Genomic DNA, 20,766 nt, shown 5'->3' with positions numbered 1-20,766 from the left:
ATCACCCAGAGTCCACAGTTTACATTAGGGTTCGATAAAATAATTTTTTACAACTTAAATCCCCCAATAAACTTAACATTACTTCTCTGGGCCAAACATTTTTCTGCATCAGTAAAATGGGATAAGAATATTTATTTGGAGCTGGGAGTGGTGGTGCATGCCTGTAGTCTCAGCTTCTTGGGAGGCTGAGGTGGGAGGATTGCTTAAGCCCAGGAGTTTGACGCTGCAGTGAACCATGATTGCATCACTGCACTAAAGCCTGGGCAGCAGAGTGAGACCCTGTCTCAAAACAAAACAAAATAAAACAAAGACAACAAAAAGGTAATATTTGGAAGGTTTTGTGAGTATTATTGGGATACATTATGAAAAGTGCTAGCACATTATAAGTATTCAGTTACGGTTATTTATCATTAAGATCGTTATAACCTGTAGGAACTGACACTGCTACCCCAGTCCTGTCTTTGAAGGAGCAAACCCATATGGGAGTAAAAATGACTGGCTCCCCTCCCTGCCTTGATCTGTCATTTGAGTCTACCTAATTATAAAACAAACAGGGTTTTAAGTTTTGAACCTATTCCCTGTCATGGTGGGTAGAAAATCAATCACTACACCTGTATTTATAAAACAATCAGAACAGAGGAAAAGACACAATTTTGAATTCCAGCCACACATTAAAACAACCCATATTTATAAAACAATCAGAACAGAGGAAAAGACATGATTTTGAATTCCAGCCATGCATTAATTGTGTGCATTTAGGCACATCACTTAAGCCTGTTAAAATTCATTTTATCCACTGAAAGCACTTTATATACTTAAACGAACTATGCTCATTTACAGGGTTCTGTACATGATCCTGCATCCGTAAAACTGAGAAACCAACAGAATGAGGACAGAATGAAAAAAGAAAAAAACTTTCAGAATGTTCTTCCTTTCCTCAATGCCATACAGTTTGTGCAGTCAGCTGATTGGCTGAAAAGAGTCAGTTTTGACGACTGATGCTTCCTGCTTATGTTTAGTTGGTTTAGGAAGCTCATTAGGATGCTATCTCGGAGATGAGTCTGGTGAGTAGAATATCTGATGACTCTAAGGCAAATGTACTTCCTTCAGCTGGTGAATTAATTTCTCAATAGACTCAATTTGCTTTTTACTGTCTGGCAATATCCCATATTTGCAATGGCCTTTCAAACACTTGCAATAAAATGTGGCTCACACATACAACCTGTTAGCGGTGAAAGAGAAACATTCATCACATTCAAAATTCTCCAAACATGAGAGCAGCTCAATGTGCTTTAAGACAGTATAACCTAATGATACATCTCTATTTTCCCCTTCCTTTTAAAATCATTTAGACAGATATATGAGAAGTAAATATGTGTTTAGAAAGTATTAGTCATCATAGATGTACCTCCAGTCATCCATTCAAATGTAAACATGGTAAAATATGCACTTATACAATTTTATACTATCAATGAGTATAGGTAGGTGAAAATTAGTGTTGCCAGAAAAAATTCAAACCAGAAAACTGAAAGTATAGAAAAATACTTTTTATTTTGTCATTGAAAAACCATTTTAAAATAATATATCGTGTAGAATAAAAAATTCCATGGATATATACATGCAAATTATACATATATGTGAATTTAATTTTGTTAAAAGGTAATTGGCATCTGCAATTTCATGCAGTCTAAGTGAAACCCATAAAGAAATGTGTATGAAATAGGAAAGCAACAAAAGCTCATAACATTTTAAAATTAGAAATCAGATTCAAAACCCATCATGATCTATTTTAAATTTATCTCTATAACATTTCAATTGAGACATAAAACACACTTTATACAACATGCCTCACTATTTTATTAACAGCATGACTTCCCTTTCCCCAATCCCCAAACCATGTTCCCATCTACACCCCACCCCACCCAAATCTCACCTCTTCCATTAGCATTATTACAAACATATTTTACAAATCTTATACCAAGCTTTTCCAGTCTCTTTTCAATGTAGAAATATCTTATATATAAACCCAAATACCACAAATCTTCACATTTATATTTTCTAAAGCAGTTAAACCTTTATAGACAATTCTACCTAAAAAGCCAAATGCGCTTGACAATATGTCATGTTATGTTAAGTTGACCAGACACAGAAGTCATTTCTGTCGGATTTCTTGTCGATGTTTGCATTAAGTTGGAGCTTTCTGATCTCAGCTCTTCTTGTGCCAGTAATTTGAAAGGTCACCTCTCTGTTGGCCTTTGGTTTATGCAATGCAGTCTGGCATTGCATAATTAAAAGTCTCGGCCGGGCACAGTGGCTCACGCCGGTAATCTCAGCACTTTCGGAGGCCGAGGCGGGCGGATCCCAAGGTCAGGAGATCCAGACCATCCTGGCTAACACGGTGAAACCCAGTCTGCACTAAAAATACAAAAAAATTAGCTGGATGTGGTGGCAGGCGCCAGTAGTTCCAGCTACTCACGAGGCAGAGGCAGGAGAATGGCGTGAACCCGGGAGGGGGAGCTTGTGGTGAGCCAAGATCGCGCCATCGCACTCCAGCCTGGGCTACAGAGTGAGACTCCGTCTCAAAAAAAAGAAAGAAAAAAAAAAGTCTTGTGAATTTGTACATAGAATATTGAAGTTAGAAGAGGCTTATCACTCTCTGGGCTCTAATACTGCCCAGAGGTTATTTGTTTCTTGTTTCCATAAGAAAATCCTATGTCTCTCCATTAGCATTCCTGATCCTTACCTCCAATTCAAAATGTGGCCAGTTCCACCTTCTAAGCCTTTATACCAAATTGACTGGGTAGGTTTATTATGAATCTGTGTTCTTGTCCAAACTCTACATTAGACCTCGCAGGAGAGTTCAAACTAAAAACTAATGAGTAAGTGCAATATTACAATTGAAACGGGAGCAAACATAATTTCAAGTAGGACACATAAAAACTGTGGGACCAAAAGAGGAAGAGTGCACGCCAAATGTTCTCAATTCTGAAATGGCTCTTGTGAAATATCTATGTGAAAACACTTCAAGGACCTGAAAAAAAAATGGTGAAAAAGCGAACAACCTTCCTTGCAAAACAACTCCAGAGTTAATGCCAGAGCTTTCTATCAAAACATCCATGTTAAGTTCGCCGGAAAGATTCAGAAGATCAATGACAGGAGTAAGGGAAAAAACAAGGACATTTTGTGAGTAGGAACGTATAATGACCCTGCAACAGGAGAACGAGAGAGGGGGAAGAAGGAAATGGAGGGTGTAAGTAAATTAATTGACTGTAACATGTTTAATGAAATAAGTAGACGTGTGATGCAAATTTCTTAATAGTCAAACATTATGCAACATATGATGCATAAGAATTGTACTATCTCAAATTTTTTTTAACGTGAGATTCTCTTGATGCCACTTTCATTTACCTACACACACACAAATGGCACAAATCACATATACATATACTGACACGAAAATATATATGTGGGAGGGAGAGAAAGAGGGAGGATAACTTTAATCATGATACACTGCCAATATAAGAACTCCCTTTTGGCCGGGCGTGATGGCTCACACCTGTAATCCCAGCACGTTGGGAGGCTGAGGAGGGCGGATCACGAGGTCAGGAGATGGAGACCATCCTGGCTAACACGGTGAAACCCCGTCTCTACTAAAAATACAAAAAAAATTAGCCGGGCGTGGTGGCGGGCGCCCGTAGTCCCAGCTACTCAGGAGGCTGAGGCAGGAGAATGGCATGGACCCCGGAGGTGGAGCTTGCGGTGAGCCGAGATCGTGCCACTGCACTCCAGCCTGGGCGACAGAGCGAGACTCCGTCCCCCTCAAAAAAGAAAAAAAAAAAAAAACTCCCTTTTTAGAAAGATCTTTTATTCAACTTACCAAAATTTTAATTGCCAATGGAACAGAAACCAGCACAAATAAGAACTTGTAACTTACCCAGGTACAAGTGAATTTCAATGACTGAAATTCAGGGGCATTCTAAGCAAGAATAGTTCAATAGTAACTAATCTCATTATTTTTCATTTTTATTAAGTAATATTTATTATTCGTAGTGTGATTTCTCATCAAGGAGTTATTTAACATGCCAAAAGCCTGCATCTCTTTAACTAGGTCTTTATGCATAGGGAATGTTTAAGTATCCACAAAAGTAATACATACTAACCAATTTTTTAGATTTTAACATATATATTTGAAGATATGTTTTCCCCAAATGTACAGTTCTTTGTGGCCTGGATTGCCTCAGGAAACTGCCTCTGCCTGTTGTGGGTATCATGGCAAGTAAGGGCACTGGTAATTTACTGCTGAGAAAATGCCTAGCCGTTTGCCTAATTATGCCATGTCATCTTCCTCACACTACAGAGCACGGTAACCTCATTTCCAAAATCAAAGACAGAACAAATCTGAACAGCTACTGTTCCTGAGGCAAACAAGTGAATAAATTCCAAAACATGCCATGGACTCACTGATGATGAATTTTAGACAATTCTTTTTTTTTTTTTTTTTGAGATGGAGTCTCGCTCTGTCGCCCAGGCTGGAATGCAGTGGCGCGATGTCGGCTCACTGCAAGCTCCGCCTCCTGGGTTCACGCCATTCTCCTGCCTCAGCCTCCCGAGTAGCTGGGACTACAGGCGCCCACCACCACTCCCGGCTAATTTTTTCGTATTTTTAGTAGAGACGGGGTTTCACAATGTTAGCCAGGATGGTCTCGATCTCCTGACACTGTGATCTGCCGCCTCGGCCTCCCAAAGTGCTGGGAGTACAGGCGTGAACCACCGCGCCCGGCCGGATTTTAGACAATTCTACATCGTCTGTTGAATCTATCGTCTGTTGAATCAGCTTTCTATTAACCACACACTATAGAAGTGAAACCAACCTGTACTACCAAGAGTGTATTAATTTTGCATGCATTTCCTAGTAAACAATGTAGACAGTATTAATTTTTATGTTGCCAAGGTAATAGTTTTGTCCCTCAACTCATATGCTAAATTTTGCCTCACCTGGCTCAGTCAGAAGGAACAGAATTGACAATATTAACTAGTCTCAGTTATCTCCACTGACAGAAAAAAAAACGTGTTATTTTCTACACTGACTGTGGGAATCAGCATTTTCTGTTATTAACTTAGATTTTTTTTCTTGCCATTTCTCTTTATGATCCCAATGTATTGATGTATTTCTAACACTACAACAAGATTTGTGTCACTCAACTGTGTGTTGTAATCATTGTCTTTTAACCATTTATATCCATGAAACTGATGTCATTGACAGATAGAAAACAGAAACAAAAAGCATAGAAGGGAGAGAGGGAGGAAGACTTTAGTCATGATACAATACCAATGTAAGGACTCCTTTTAAGAAAGATTTAAAAAAATTTCTTCATCAAAATTTCCATTGCCTCCTTGAATGAACTGTGAAGGATTGCAAATTCCTTTAAAACTTGGTTTTGGCAACGAATCTGGATTTCCTTCATTAACCAGGTATACAGAATTCATTTTCCAATGCTCTATTAAAAATAAGAGGCTGGGCACGGTGGCTCACGCCTGTAATCCCAGCACTTTGGGAGGCTGAGGCGGGTGGATCACAAGGTCAGGAGATCGAGACCATCCTGGCTAACACGGTGAAACCCCGTCTCTACTAAAAATACAAAAAATTAGCCGGGCGTGGTGGCGGGCACCTGTAGTCCCAGCTACTCAGGAGGCTGAAGCAGGAGAATGGCGTGAACCCAGGAGGCGGAGCTTGCAGTGAGCCGAGACTGCGCCACTGCACTCCAGCCTGGGCAACAGAGTGAGACTCCATCTAAAATAAAATAAAATAAAATAAAATAAAATAAATAAAAAAGGGAAGATTCCCTTAATGTTTCCCAGTCTATTAAAGGTTTCCTTCCAAAAGGAGCTCATTCTGATCCCATTTAGTACTACACCCTCGTGTATGCCAGATGGCACAGGCATCATAGCTTCACAAATGTCATTCTGATTCTCACCTTTAAAATGAAATTCCCTTAATCTACCTTTCTTTACACAAACTACAAAATTGTAGACAAAGATATGCCAAATTAAAAGCCTCTTTTGCTAAATATTCTAGAAATAATTTGAGAAAAATGGGCGCAATTTGAGACCTTAGTTGTCTTGGAAAGGGAGTAGGTGGGTATTTGACTATGATTCTGGTTGGTATTTCTCCTGTTAACTATTTAAATGTGTGACCTTAAAAGAAAATCATTCAGTCTTGTTGAGACTAATAAATGTCTCATCCAAAAAAAATGAACTTAAAATTTCTCCTATGTGTCTTATAGCTCAAAAATTTTCAATTCTGTTTCAAGCCATTCTAACATCCTGGATATTTTCCTGGATATTATAATATCCAGCTTATAATCTGGATAGGTAAAGTTTTATTTGTATTATGTTCCTTAGGTTTTGTTAAGTTTCTTGCAAGTAGGTTGATATTCTTTAATGTTTAAGTATTAAATCTGAGGTGAGCTGACCTGTTATTGTTTTGTGTACTCAATAATTTACAGTAAAATATATTTAGAATTGTTATAGTTGGTTATTAGAAATAGAGTTTCTACCTATTGTGGTTTTTAAAGTACCTGTGGTCCAGGGGCAGTGGCTCACACCTGTAATCCCAGGACTTTGGGAGGCCAAGGTGGGCGGATCACTTGAGGTCGGGAGTTCAAGACCAGCCTAGCCAACATGGCAAAACCCCGTCTCTACAAAATATACAAAAATTAGCTGGGCGTGGTGGCGCGTGCCTGTAAACCGAGCTACTTGGCAGGCTAAGGCACGAGAATTGCTTGAACCTAGGAGGCGGAAGTTGTAGTGAGCCAAGATCTTGCCTCCACACTCCAGCCTGGGTGACAGGGCAAGACTCTGTCTCAAAAAAATAAAAATAAAAGTGCCTGTGTATGCAGTGGGCATTCAACAAATAGTTGTTAAATGAATAAATTAAAACCTTGAGATTTGCTAAATGCTTAAAACCCAAAAGAAAAAAATAATATTTTTAAGAAAAATATTAAAAATCATTTTAACTATAGCCATGGATAAGTACATAAGCACACAAAAAATTAATCACTGTGTTGGTAAAAACCTTATTTCAATACCTCTTTATCCTTCATACAAGAATAAATCTCTGGAAGAGAAAAGAAAAGAAAGCCGCTCTGAGCGTACCTACCTTTCTACTCTGGAGAGAAGCTCTTTTGACACAGACTGCTCCGTTTAACAGACTCCAGCTGCTGGCACTGCCTTCTGAGTTCTTTCACTTCCGAATTCTTATCGTCCTGCAGCCCCACCACAGTCAATGACTAAGTTCCTCTGGACTTTCACATGGATCGTAATAGACAACTTCATCCTGTTTTTCTAAAAAGGTATTAATGATTGTTTAAAACATATTTTATTATTTGTAAAAATGCACTCAATTTTTTTAAATGTAAGGAAAATAAAGATCACTTGTAATGCCACCACTGAGAATCACTATTAACATATAAAAAATGTATGTGTATAAATGTAATATACATATACACGTGTATATATACATGACTATACACATGTATTAAGTAGCATGTGTGTATATACAAGTAGTATATGCATGTATATATACCTGTACAGACATACGTATATATACACACGCACATACACATACTACTTACATAGCTACACATATCAATGGAGTTCTAAAAGAACATTTTCCATGGGATGGAAATAAATCTTTAGGCCAGGTGCGGTGGCTCACGCCTGTAATCCCAGCACTTTGGGAGGCCAAGGCAGGCGGCACACCTGAGGGTCAGGAGTTCAAGACCAGCCTGGCCAACATGGCAAAACCCCGTCTCTACTAAAAATACAAAACTAGTTGGGCACAGTGGCGTGTGCCTGTAATCCCAGCTACTCAGGAGGCTGAGGCAGGAGAACAGCATGAACCTGGGAGGCAGAAGTTGCAGTGAGCCGAGATCGTGCCACTGCACTCCAGCCTGGGCAACAGAGCAAGACTCCATCTCCAAAAATAAAAAAAAATTTAAAAAGATAAATTTTAATGGCAGCATAGTATTCTCTAATTTAAGCAATCCACGTTGTTAGGCTGTTCCAATGTTCCATTATTATTCATTTCACTGTGATAAACATCTCTGTATAAATCTTTGTGTACACTTTTTATCATTTCCTTAGCAGATAAGTGTTTAAGGATCTTGATACCCATTGCCACACTGCCCTCCAGAAAGGCAACTTATATTCTACCAGCAATATATTATTAAGATGCCTTAGTGATATTTAATCTTGATTACATATTGATTTTTTAAAAGTCATGCTTACTGTAACAAATTCAAACCCTCCAGAAGTACATCAAATAAACAGTGAAATTCTATTGCTCATTCCCCAAACCTTCTGAGTCATTCTCAGAGGAAAAACATTATGAACAATTTGGCATGCATCCTTCCAGATTAACTTGTTTTTTAATGTAATTTTTTTCCTAAATATGTAAAATGCTTATAACCTGAAACTACTGAAAAAAATTCTGAATACTCAGGATTAAACTAAAAGTTCAGGATCTATGTGAAGAAATTTATTAAACTTGGAGGAACTTTAGGAAAAAAGATTTAAATAAATGGAGAGAGACATACCATGTTCTTGGGTAGGAAGATTCAAAATTGCAAAGACCACTATTCTCCCCAAAGTAATCTCTAATTTTAAGCAAAATCACAATCAAAATTCCAAAGAGTTTTTTGTTTTGAACTTGATTCTAAATTTCATCTGGAAGAATAAAGGAGTGAAAATAGTCAGAAAACTTGTGAAGTAATGTGGGGGGTACTTGCCTTACCAGACCCTAAAATGTGCCTCCAAGACAGTCGTGGGAACAGTATGGAGCCAGCAGCAGAAGCCACTCACGAACCAATGGAGGAGAACAACTCAGAAACAGACCAAAGTCAATCTAATGCTTAACTGGAGAAATGTTAAACATTTAGGGAAAATGTTTTTAAAATCAGTGATTGGGACTGCTTAACAATTTGAGGGAAAGGTTCAATTCCTACCACATTCAAAATAAATTCCACCTGGACTAAAGAATTAAATGTTTTAAAAAGTAACATCATAAACATACTGAAAGAAAACATAAGTATATATTGACATAATTTTGGGATAGGAGCCTATTGCCAGACATAATACTAAAAGCAGAAGCCATAGGGGAAAAAATCAATAAACACGACTTCATAAAAATTAAATATTTCTGAAAGGCAAGAAAACGCAAATGACAAGGAGAGACTATTTGCAACATATGACAGACAATAGAGAATATTATTCTTAATGTCGAAAGGAAATATTCCAAAGAAAAATGGACAAAGACTATGACTAGGCATTTCATAAAATAAGTACAAATGGCTTGTAAACATACAAAATTTTGTTCAATATTCATTCATAATTAAATAAATGAAAATTGGAAGACTGCCATTTTCTCTGTCAAGCAAGCAAAAATGCAAAAAAATGGCATGAGTCTGGGAAACATACACACTCATATTCTGCTGATGGGAGCGTCTTTTTTTTTTTTTTTTTTTGAGACAGAGTCTTACTCTGTCGCCCAGGCTGGAGTGCAGTGGCGCCATCTCAGCTCACTGCAATCTCGACCTCCCAGGTTCAAGCGATTCTCCTGCCTCAGCCTCCCAGGTAGCTGGGATTACAGGCACCCACCACCACGCCCAGCTAATTTTTGTATTTTTAGTAGAGACAGAGTTTCACCACGTTGGCCAAGCTGGTCTTGAACTCCTGACCTCAAGTAATCTGCTCCCCTCAGCCTCCCAAAGTGCTGAGATTACAGGCGTGAGCCACCACGCCCAGCCTGGGAGCGTCATTTTAAATGTACAACCTATCTAGAGGGCCACTACATAGTATGAAATTTAGAAATCAGAAAATAATACGCAGGTGAGGAAAAATGTATCTCAGATGATTGTTGTATTATTACGTAGCAAAATGTAAAATATACATTGTCCTTGACCCAATAATTCCATCCTTAGATATTTATTCTAAGGAGATAATCTGTCCTATACTCAAAAAGACATGTGTAAAGGAAAGTTCACTACACTACTGTTCAAAACAGCGGAAATTTGGAAATCACGGTATATCCATATAATGGAATACTATGCAGCCATTAAAATTTTGATACTTTTATTATTTCTGAAATAGACAATTAGTATGTATTAAATGAAAAAGAGACTATTATGCATTGTATGCCTGTGTCAAAATATCTTATGTAACCCATAAATATATATATCTACTATGCACCCATAAAAATTAAAAAATTTTTAAAAAGATGTTACTGAACTGGTTATGTAGTTTTGGTTAAAAATTTATATTTTTATATATCAGCATATTTTAAAATCTACAAAGTTATACAGCAAATTGTTACCACTAAGTATCTCTTTTTTTTTTTTTCTTTTTTAGACGGAGTCTCGCTCTGTCTTCCAGGCTGGAGTGCAGTGGCACGATCTTGGCTCACTGAAACTTCCACCTCACGGGTTCAAGCCATTCTCCTGCCTCAGCCTCCCAAGTAGCTGGGATTACAGGCACGTGCCACCACATCGGACTTTGTATTTTTAGTAGAGACAGGGTTTAGTATTTTTGTATTTTTAGTAGAGATGGGGTTTCACCATGTTGGTCAGACTGGTCTGGAACTCCTGACCTCAAGTGATCCGCCCGCCTCAGCCTCCCAAAGTGCTGGGATTATAGGCGTGAGCCACTGTGCCCAGCCAAACACTAAGCATCTCTAGATGATGGGATTGGAGTAATAATCATTTTTCTTTCTTTGTTTTGCTATGTGCTAACAATGAATATATTATTTGAATAATAAACTACTGAAGGAAAACTTTAGGAAATTTTCAGATGTTACAGTTTACAAAAAGTAATTGATAATATGGTCTGTATTTCCTTAAATTTATAAACATTGTAATCTATATACTTAAATATAAACTTTACTTTTTATAAGTCTTTTAAGAGAGTCCAACTGTGTAGTAAGCAGTATTTCTTCGTTTTTTAATATCTCAAATTTAACTTCATATAGTTCTAACTGAATTTCATAAAATTGCATTTCTAATTCATCTACAACATTTATATTTTTTTCTTGTTCTGGAAGATCTTCCATCTTATTTTCATAGAAAAAAGAAAAATAAGTTAAAATAAATAGTATATTAAAAACAAACTTCAGAAGCATTCTAGCTATTTTCTATTCCTTGTTCAATACTAAATATAAAAAAGCAAATAGGAAAGAAACACTTTTTCATTTCATCTAGTGATGCTAATATTTTATCTCATCCTTGAAACAGAAAAACATTTAGGTTTTGAGAAACATAAATGGCAATGAGGTATTATTATGTATTGCATATTGGTGTCCCCACAAAATTCATATGTTGACACTCTAACTCCCAATGTGATGTTATTTGGAGGTGGGTCCTTTGGAAGTAATTAGGTTCAGATTATGTCAAAAGGATAGCACCCCCATCATGGGATTAGTGCCATTAGAAGAGAAAGACAGGGATCACTTTCTTTCTCTCTAAACTTACACACAGAAGAAAGGCTATATGAGCACTCAGTTAAGAAGGCAGCTGTCTACCAGACAGGAAGAGGATCCTCACCGGACAGTGAATCTGCAGGCATCTTGGACTTCCCAGCCTCCAGAACTGTGAGAAATACATGTCCGTTGTTGAAGCCACCCAATCTGTGATATTTAATCTTGTTATAGCAGCCTTAGCCAACTAAGACAGGTGGTTACAGTGTTTTCTGCTTTAAGGTCATAAGATTATAGGAAAAAACTTAAGTGTCTATGATCCTTCAGTGAAGTATCTCTTTGATTATTTTAAAGCTGTACTGAAAACATTGCTGGATTGATATTCAAGTACAGTACCCACTTCAATACTGGGCTCGGTGTTACTATAAAGTAAATCCTATAATATGGTATTTTGAAACATCTTAACTAAAGGAAAACTTTATGTCTAACCTTCCATAGAAGATAGTGTTAGAATAAGTGAAGAAAAGAAGCTCTTTAACGATGCCTGGAAAGAAAAGTGCTATCTAAAAATAAAAGTGTGCTTTACCACATGGTCTCACTTATAAGTGGGAGCTAAGTAGTGTGTATACACACACAGTGTGGAATAATAGACACTGGAGACTCAGAAGAGTAAGAGGGTGGGAGGGAGGATGAGAAATATTTAGTGGGTACAATTACATTATACAGGTGAAGATTACACTAAAAGCCCAAACTTCACCACTACACAATATATCCATGGAACAAAACAGTACTTGTATCCCTTATTTACACAAACTTTTTAAAAAATAAAAGTGGGGCCAGGCATGGTGGCTCACGCCTGTAATCCCAGCACTTTGGGAGGCCGAGGCGGGCGGATCACGAGGTCAGGAGATCGAGACCAGCCTGGCTAACACAGTGTATCCCCGTCTCTACTAAAAATACAAAAAATTAGCTGGGCGTGGTGGTGGGCGCCTGTAGTCCCAGCCATTCGGGAGGCTGAGGCAGGAGAATGGCGTGAACCCGGGAGGTGGAGCTTGCAGTGAGCCGAGACTGCACCACTGTGGTACAGCCTGGGCAAAAGAGCGAGACTCCGTCTCAAAAAAAATAAAAAAATAAATAAAATAAAAGTGTAGTTTTAAAACAAAGTTACGTTTATCTTTGTCTTACCTTTCCCTGAATTTCAGCTCTTTTGCGATTTAAATACAATTCTTTCGCTCTCATGAGTTGCAGAGTCTCTTGAGCTAGCATTAGCTTAAGTTTTTCCAACCTGGGAATTGCTGTGGCCCAGGCAGCCTGGCCAAATCTCTTCACATCCTGTTCCATTTCTTTCTGCATTCCTGTTGGATTATAAAAATAAAATATAATTACACCTCATTAAAAAGGGAAACATTGATCATGAGCTAATTCTTTTTTTATTGCTTCCATACTACCTGCAGAACATCTTTTTTAAAAGAAATTTTGTTTTATTAACTTTTTTATTATTATAAAAATAATACATGGTCATTAATATACAATTTTAGGTATTCAATTTTTAAAAGGACAATAATAAGTCATGATCTCACCTAGTTGAGGCAACTGCTTCTTATATTTTGGCACACTTGCTTCCATATTGTTTCTATGTCTAGCTAGACAGACAGGCTCATATGGATAGTTTGACCAAAAAACCAGGATTATCATTCTGCTTTATATCTTGCTGATTCTGCACAATATATCAGACACTCTTGCCATTTATAAAAAAAATCAAGAATCATGCTTAATAGCTATGTAGTTTTCTCTTTTATGAATGTACCATAACTTAACAAACTGACAGACATTAAGTTGTTTCCTATTTGGTGTTTTTATTAACAATTATTTAAGACTGAAAAAAAGTCCTTCACCCAGCCCGCAAGCCCCTGCACGGTCTGATCCCTGCCTGTCTTGCCAGCATTCTCCCTCGTGCCACACTGTCCTGCACTCTGTGTGATCCAGCCCTGCAGGTTTTCTGTAAGCTCCTATTTGCCAACTTCCCTCAAGCCAGGGGACCTTTACCAGTGCTATTCCTTCTGCCCGGAACACTCCTCACTTTTTCTATTCTCTCAACTTCCGTTTACCCTTCAGCTACTGGGGCAAGCACCACTTCTCAGAGGCCTTCAGCGACCACCCTGATCAAGCCCAATTTCTCTCTCACAGACCCTCAGAGCCCGATGTCTCTCTTCTTTGTGCCATTTATTGTCACTGCCATTTTCCATGTGCTTCAGTGAATAGATAATTAAGATTTCTCTCCCTTCACCAGACTGTACAATGTCTCTTAATGCTTGACACTGAATTCTTGCCACCCAGAAAACACAGTGCCTAGTGCGTAAGAGGGACTCAAATGGTATATGAATAAAATGACAATCAATTACACGTATCTGCGTAAAGCATTTTTTAGATTATCACCTGCTAATGCTTTTACTGTCTAATTAAAATAATTCACTGTGATATCTTGAATAGAGACAACAGCTTCTTCAGCCCGTCTGGTCCATTCTTCAGCTTCTTTCTCCAGGGCAACTATCCTGGAGACGTAGGACCTACGTCATCCTCATCCAAGGAATTCTACAGACAGAAGAGAAAATTATCTTACTAAGAGCTAATAGTTATGTTGACCCATTAGGAAATTGAAAGGAAATTGGTCACATGGATTAATTTAACTACAGTACTACTCAGTCAGTTAAATTTTCATTCATTCAGCAGTCCCTTACTGCATATGAATAAGGCTCTAAGCTGAGCACCACCTGGAAGACAAAAGGACACTCTGGGGCATAAAGGGGAAAAAAAAACCTACTTTCACTTCACATGCCTAGAATAACTTTTTCTAGAGAGGAATGTTGTCAACTTATGCTTCTCTCTATTAATAATAATACACAATTGTTTAAATGAGTGATCTGTGTTGTCAAGCACTCAGCATAGGGCCTGGAACACAGCACTTAAGTGTTAGCTGTTGTTATCGTTTCTTTTAGGGATATGTAATATAATCACCTAAAAGACAGTATCTGTATATTCATGCTTATAACATGCACTGGTATTGGACTGAATGTTTGGGTCCCCCCAAAATGCATATGTTGAAGCCTAAATCCCCAGTGTGATGGTATTTGAAGATGGGGCCTTTGGGAGGTAATTAGGTCATGAGGGTGCAGCCCTCAAGAATGGGATTAATGCCCTTATAAAAAGAAGAGGAGACACAGGATCTCTCTCTCTGCTCTTCACCATGTGAAGACACAGCAAGACAGTCATCTACAAATTAAGAAACTGGCCCTCACAAGACACTGGATCTGCCAGCACCTTGATCTTAGACTACCCAGCCTCCAGAACTGTGAGAAAAAAAGTTTTGTTGTTTATAAGCCACTAATCTACGGTACTTTGTTATAACAGCCTGAACTAAGACATGTACAGCTATGTCATCCAATATGCAATTTTTCTTCTACAAAGCATAAGAAATATGTACAAGTTAGCCGACAAGGAATTACAAATCAAAACCATAACGAGATACCACTTCACACCCACTAGGATGGCTGTAACCAAAGAGACACACAATTACAAGTGTTGGTGATAATGTGGACAAATTGGAACCCTCATTTACTGCTTTTGGGAATATAAATGAGGCACCCACTTTGGAAAACCATCTGGCGTCTTTCAAAAGGTTAAACATTGAGTAATCACAGGACCCAGCAATCCTACTCCTCAGTACGTACACAAGAGCAATGAAAAGATATGTCTACACAGAAACTCATACACAAACATTCATAGCAGAATTATTCATGATAGCCAAAAAGTGGAAACAACCCAAATGTCCATCAACTGATGAATAAAATGCAATATATCCATACAATGAATATTACTGAGCAATAAAAAGAAATGAAATCCTGGTATTTGCTACAACATGGATTAGTCTTGCAAACACTGTGCTGAGTGAAAGGACCACATATTCAATAATGCTGTTGCTATGTCCAGAGTAGGGAAATCCACAGAGACAGAAAGTAGATTGGTGGTTGCCCAGGGTTGGGAGTGACTAATGGGTACAGGGTTTCTTTTGGAGGTGAAAATGTCCTGAAATTACATAGTAATGACCATTGTGCAACTTTCAATATACTAAAAATCACTGAATTGTACATCTTTTATATATACATATATACACATACATATACATACACATACACATACATATACACATATATACACATATACACACATATACACATATATATACATACATATATTCATAAATATATACATATATATATATACATATATATATATATATATATATATATAATCTGTGAATGGTATCTTAAAACAGCTGTTACTTAAAGAAAGGAAAAATATAGACCGGGTGCGGTGGCTCATGCCTGTAATCCCAGCACTTTCGGAGCCTGAGGTGGGCAGATCACCTGAGGTCAGGAGTTCAAGACCAGCCTGACCAACGTGAAGAAACCCCATCTCTACTAAAAAAATACAAAATTAGCCAGGCCGGGCATGGTGGCACATGCCTGTAATCCCAGCTACTCGGAAGGCTGAGGCAGGAGAATCGCTTGAATCCAGGAGGTGGAGGTTGCAGTGAGCTGAGATCACGCCATTGCACTCCAGCCTGGGCAACAAGAGCGAAACTCCATCTCAAAAAAAAAAAAAAAACAGAAGAAGAAAGCAAAATATATGCAAGAAGTAGACTCTCCAAATAATAGACTTTCAAAATAATGAACAGAACAACTTTATCCACAGGTTAGAGTGGCATGAGTTTCATCTAAATGTGATACTATTTTTATAGTACAATCATCTGGCAGGGGGCATGAGATTATATGTGGAAAGATGGCCCAGTGCAGGGGGCAGAAATCAAGAGATCTCTTAGGTGTCTTCTGATTCCCGTTGTTGAGACCCAAGGTAAGATATTTAACAACTCTGGACTCCAGATTCATTTGTAACACTGGAATAAGAATGTCTTTTCTGAATGGGGTCACACGGTTGTTTGATGGCTCAATGAAACAAGAGCGATAACAGCATTTACTAAAATTTAAGTTACTGAATTACAATCTAGGGTCCTGCTATTTAAATTTTCATCCTATTTTAAGAAATTTGGATGAGTCCTTAGAGGAAAACAAACTGAAGCAAATAAATATCACATCAAAAACAATTCATCAGGCTGGGCGCAGTGGCTCACGCTTGTAATCCCAGCACTTTGGGAGGCTGAGACGCGTGGCTCACTTGAGGTCAGGAGTTTGAGACCAGCCTGGCCAACATGGTGAAACCCCGTCTCTACTAAAAATACAAAAAAAGTTAGCTGGGCATGGAGTGCACACCTGTAATCCCAGCTACTCAGGAGGCTGAGGCAGAAGAGTCACTTGAACCTGGAGGAGGTTGCAGTGAGTCAAGATTGTGCCACTGCACTCTAGCCTGGCTGACAAAGAGAGACCCTATCTCAAAAAAAAAAAAAAAAAAAAAAAAAAAAGGCATCGATACAAAAAAACTCTTAACTCTTTAAAATCTGCAGGAATCTTAAGCTAGTAAGATGACCAACATAAATGTCTTCATTTTCTATCAATTTTAAATATAAATTCAATATTTAAACATGAGGGTGAACTAGGCATAGTGGCTGACGCCTGTAATGCTACGCTTTGGGAGGCCGAGGTGGGCAGACTGCTTGAGCTCAGGAGTTAGAAACCAGCTTGAGCAACATGGCAAAACCTCATCTCTATCAATAAATAAGTAAAGAAACATAAAAGTAAACCCAAACAAAGTGCAGAGATTGAACATTAAGTGTAAATAAAGAAATAATATATGACAAATAGTAAATGTGATAAAATAAAAATTAAAAAAAATACCAAAATATCAAGCTTACATAAAGTTGCAACTTCTCGCATAGCCCTAAATGGCTGCAGTAAGTACTGGAAAAACATGGTTGCCATGGTAACTAATTCCTGGTAGGCTTCATCTTCCTCTTGGTAAACTTTCATTAATGCTACCATGGTGTTGGCTTTTCCATGTCCTTGGATAACCTAGAGAGCAAATGTGAATAAAGCTCAAGTCAGACAGTGTAATACATACCCAACAAACAAAACTAAACAAAAGAAACCTTCATGTTCTCAACTTTCAATACATCAATTTAAAATATTGATTAAATATGAAAATGTCATCATCCTCCATCAAAAATGCCCAATAAAACAAGAATTGTTAAGTAAATTATGATATATCCATGGCAGAATATTATTACTGTAGTCATTCAGCACTGTGCTTCTGAAGATTGTTTAATAATATGGAGACTTTTGGCCAGGCACCGTGGCTCACGCCTGTAATTCCAGCACTTTGGGAGGCCGAGGCGGGTGGATCACTTGAGGTCAGGACTTCGACACCAGCCTGACCAACATGGAGAAACCCTGTCTGTACTAAAAATACAAAATTTGTTGGGCGTGGTGGCGCATGCCTGTAATCCCAGCTACTGGGGAGGCTGAGGCAGGAGAATAGCTTGAACCCGGGAGGCGGAGGTTGCGGTGAGCCGAGACAGTGCCATTGCATTCCAGCCTGGGCAACAAGAACGAAACTCTGTTTCAAAAAAAAAAAAAAGGAGACTTTTATAATTAAATGGAGAGGCAGAGTACAAAATTTAATCTCAACTATGCACTAAGTATGCAGCGAAAAGGACCCAAAAGAAGGTTTGAGGTGTGGATATTTTTTCATTTGACTTTTCTGACTGTGAAGGTTTTGTGAGGCTGTATTCCTTTTTAAAAGCTCCTAAGGGCCAGGCATGGTGGCTCACACCTGTAACCCCAGCACTTTGGGAGGCCACGGCAGGCAGATCACGAGGTCAGGAGATTGAGACCATCCTGGCTAACACGGTGAAACCCTGTGTATACTAACAATACAAAAAATTTGCTGGGCGTGGTGGAGGGCACCTGCAGTCCCAGCTACTGGGGAGGCTGAGGCAGGAAAATGGGGTGAACCTGAGGGGCAGAGCTTGCAGTGAGCCGAGATGGCGCCACTGCACTCCAGCCTGGGCGACAGTGCAAGACTCTGTCTCAAAAAAAAAAAAACAAAAAACCTCATAAAACATTACAGAGCTGTCTCCAAGTACTTTAGCATGTTGATTCTCTTAATGCCCCAGGTTAATATCCCCATGAAGTCCTTAGCAGTCAACTCATTTACAGAGCCTCAGCTGTGGTTCCAGTCTCTGCTGGTTATTGCTTGTGCTGCAGGGCAGAAAACAAACTGAACAGTGTATAATCTAGGTGGACTGATTTGGTTGGAAATTATTTTACTCCCACAAGAAGAGAAATAAAAATAAAATAATATAGATGTTTTTCAACCAATACATTCTTAAAATTCTTCTATTTCCATCCTTCTGCTTAAAGATAAAGTGATCTACTTTCAGCTGTATTTTTTATCCAGGTAATAATATTATGTTTTTTTTTTTAAGTGAAAGCCCCACTGAACAAAATTAAAACACACACGCAAAAGTAAACTTAAGGCAAGTGATACACTTCAGCCTTATTTCTTAGACTATTCAGAAAAATTCCAGAGTTAAAACATTCAGCTTCATTTTATATATGCTAGCAATGCTAGCAATTAATCTAATTCTAGAATCAATTGCTTTTCTATTTTAAATATAAAGTAAAATATTAAAATTATATATTTGGACATGTTTTGAATTTTAGCTTCCCCTCTCAACCCCTCATTTTTGAGTTCCAGATAAATATGTGAACTACACTAACATGAACAACTAGCTCAACAGAATGAACTACATTCACGCTATAGTACCCCAGAGTGAACTTAAATTTGGGAAAACTAACTTTTCTGATAGTAACTACAGTAAAATGCATCATATAAATGTTCGATTTTAAGGAGAAACCACCTATCTCTGTGAGAAACCAAGAGTGTAAAAAACAAGTCTGATACAAAATGATACCATTTTTGAAACTCCGGTGGGCTCGTCATATCCTAAGGTGAAAGTTATAAAGTTGAAGATCAAAAGCTGACTGGCCTGAAACTCCCCTGTGGTTTCCTCATAGTCTAAAGTGAAATCAACACATGTTAAGTGGGTGTGTAGACATTTACACATAAAGCTCACAGTACAAAAATGACCCCACTAACAAGCTCCTTTTATAAAACCATTTTAATTTAGAAAGCTTATTCTATATTTAGCTTAGGCTGAATTCTTCTTTTCACCTCCCCTTCCTCAAAAGAATGCACAGAAAAAAATCATTCAGGTTAATAAGAGCAGTGAGCTGAGACTCCAGCCTGGCTCTGCTTAGTAAACCGTGGGTGTGGATTTAGAAGGCATACTTTCTCCTAAACCCTTCTATGAACATGTACTTCCCCGTCCCCTAAGTTCAGTAAGTTTACCACTCAATTACTCTCTCAAACTACCTCTTTCAAGCTTAAAAGAGCACTAATGCGGTTAAACTGATGAATAAAGCTCACTTTCTACCGGCTTTCCATTTGACCAAGTCTGTATTACTTAAAACAAAACACCCTAACTCCTAAAAGCCATTTCTTCCTTTAAACCATTTTATCCCACTTGCGACGTCCCCGCAGACACAGACTTGGAATTGCTTACGTGTAGTCCGTGTTATTCTTTCCTACATGGATGGGTTGTTTTCAGTTTGCTTGCAGTATTTCTGACATTTCCCGTTACAACATCCTGCTCTGCCAGCATCTTCAGGGCAAAGGTTGGGGGCCTAGCCCAGCTCCCAGCGGCAAGTACACTAGGCTCTTAACTTCGCTTGTCCTCTCTGCAGGCCCTGCCGAAGCTCCCCCTGGTTTCCCGCAGCGATCCCGCGCAGGTGAGGGTACTGGGGAGCCCGTGGCCTTCTCCGCCCGCCGGCTCCTCCCCATCAGCCGTCAGCCAGGGCTCTCGGCGCCGGGGAAGCCTCCCACAGGGTCCCAGGCCACCCAAGCGCGGTCAAACGCCGGCGGCCCGGCCTCGCTTACCTGACGCAGCCGCGCGTCCGCCTCGACCCATCAGGCGCGCAGGGCCCGCTCTCGAAACTCGCGCGGGCTCTCGCAGTCAGCCGCGCGGCCTTTAGCCGCGAAAACAGCGTGGCGCACGGTGGCGCCGCCGCAGCCGTGGGCCGCCGCGCCCAGGTAGCGCTCCAGCTGCCCGCAAAGCTCCTGCAGCGCCACCTCGCCGGGGCCCGCGCGCGCCTGCCAGAGCAGCGCCCACAGCCCGAGCCCCAGACTCCAGGCCCCGCCGCCGCCCACGTCCAGCTGCGGGGAGCAGCGTTCCAGAGGCGGCCACAGCGCCGCTAGCTGCCAGCGCGCGCCGCGGAACCCCGCGG

The 20,766-nt window shown here is 39.3% G+C and overlaps 1 pseudogene across 2 annotated transcripts; it reads right to left on the bottom strand.

The window, feature by feature from the left end:
- Nucleotides 1-1,532: 1,532 nt before the first annotated feature.
- WHAMMP4 (WHAMM pseudogene 4) lies at nt 1,533-20,677 on the bottom strand (annotated as a pseudogene). 2 transcript variants are annotated; one of them, NR_146104.1, is made up of 8 exons: nt 20,046-20,377; nt 17,916-18,034; nt 17,334-17,490; nt 13,904-14,059; nt 12,653-12,822; nt 8,598-8,727; nt 7,160-7,344; nt 1,533-2,578 (listed from the first exon to the last, which is right to left on the bottom strand). The product of NR_146104.1 is annotated as a WHAMM pseudogene 4, transcript variant 2 (transcript). The 2 variants fall into 2 exon arrangements; NR_146103.1 differs by lacking the exons at nt 8,598-8,727; nt 17,916-18,034; nt 20,046-20,377 and adding an exon at nt 20,420-20,677.
- Nucleotides 20,678-20,766: the final 89 nt, after the last annotated feature.

The sequence above is a fragment of the Homo sapiens genome, chromosome 15 (assembly GCF_000001405.40).
Source record: "Homo sapiens chromosome 15, GRCh38.p14 Primary Assembly".
Classification (NCBI taxonomy): Eukaryota; Metazoa; Chordata; class Mammalia; order Primates; family Hominidae; genus Homo; species Homo sapiens.
This window is presented reverse-complemented; position numbering and strand designations above follow the sequence as displayed.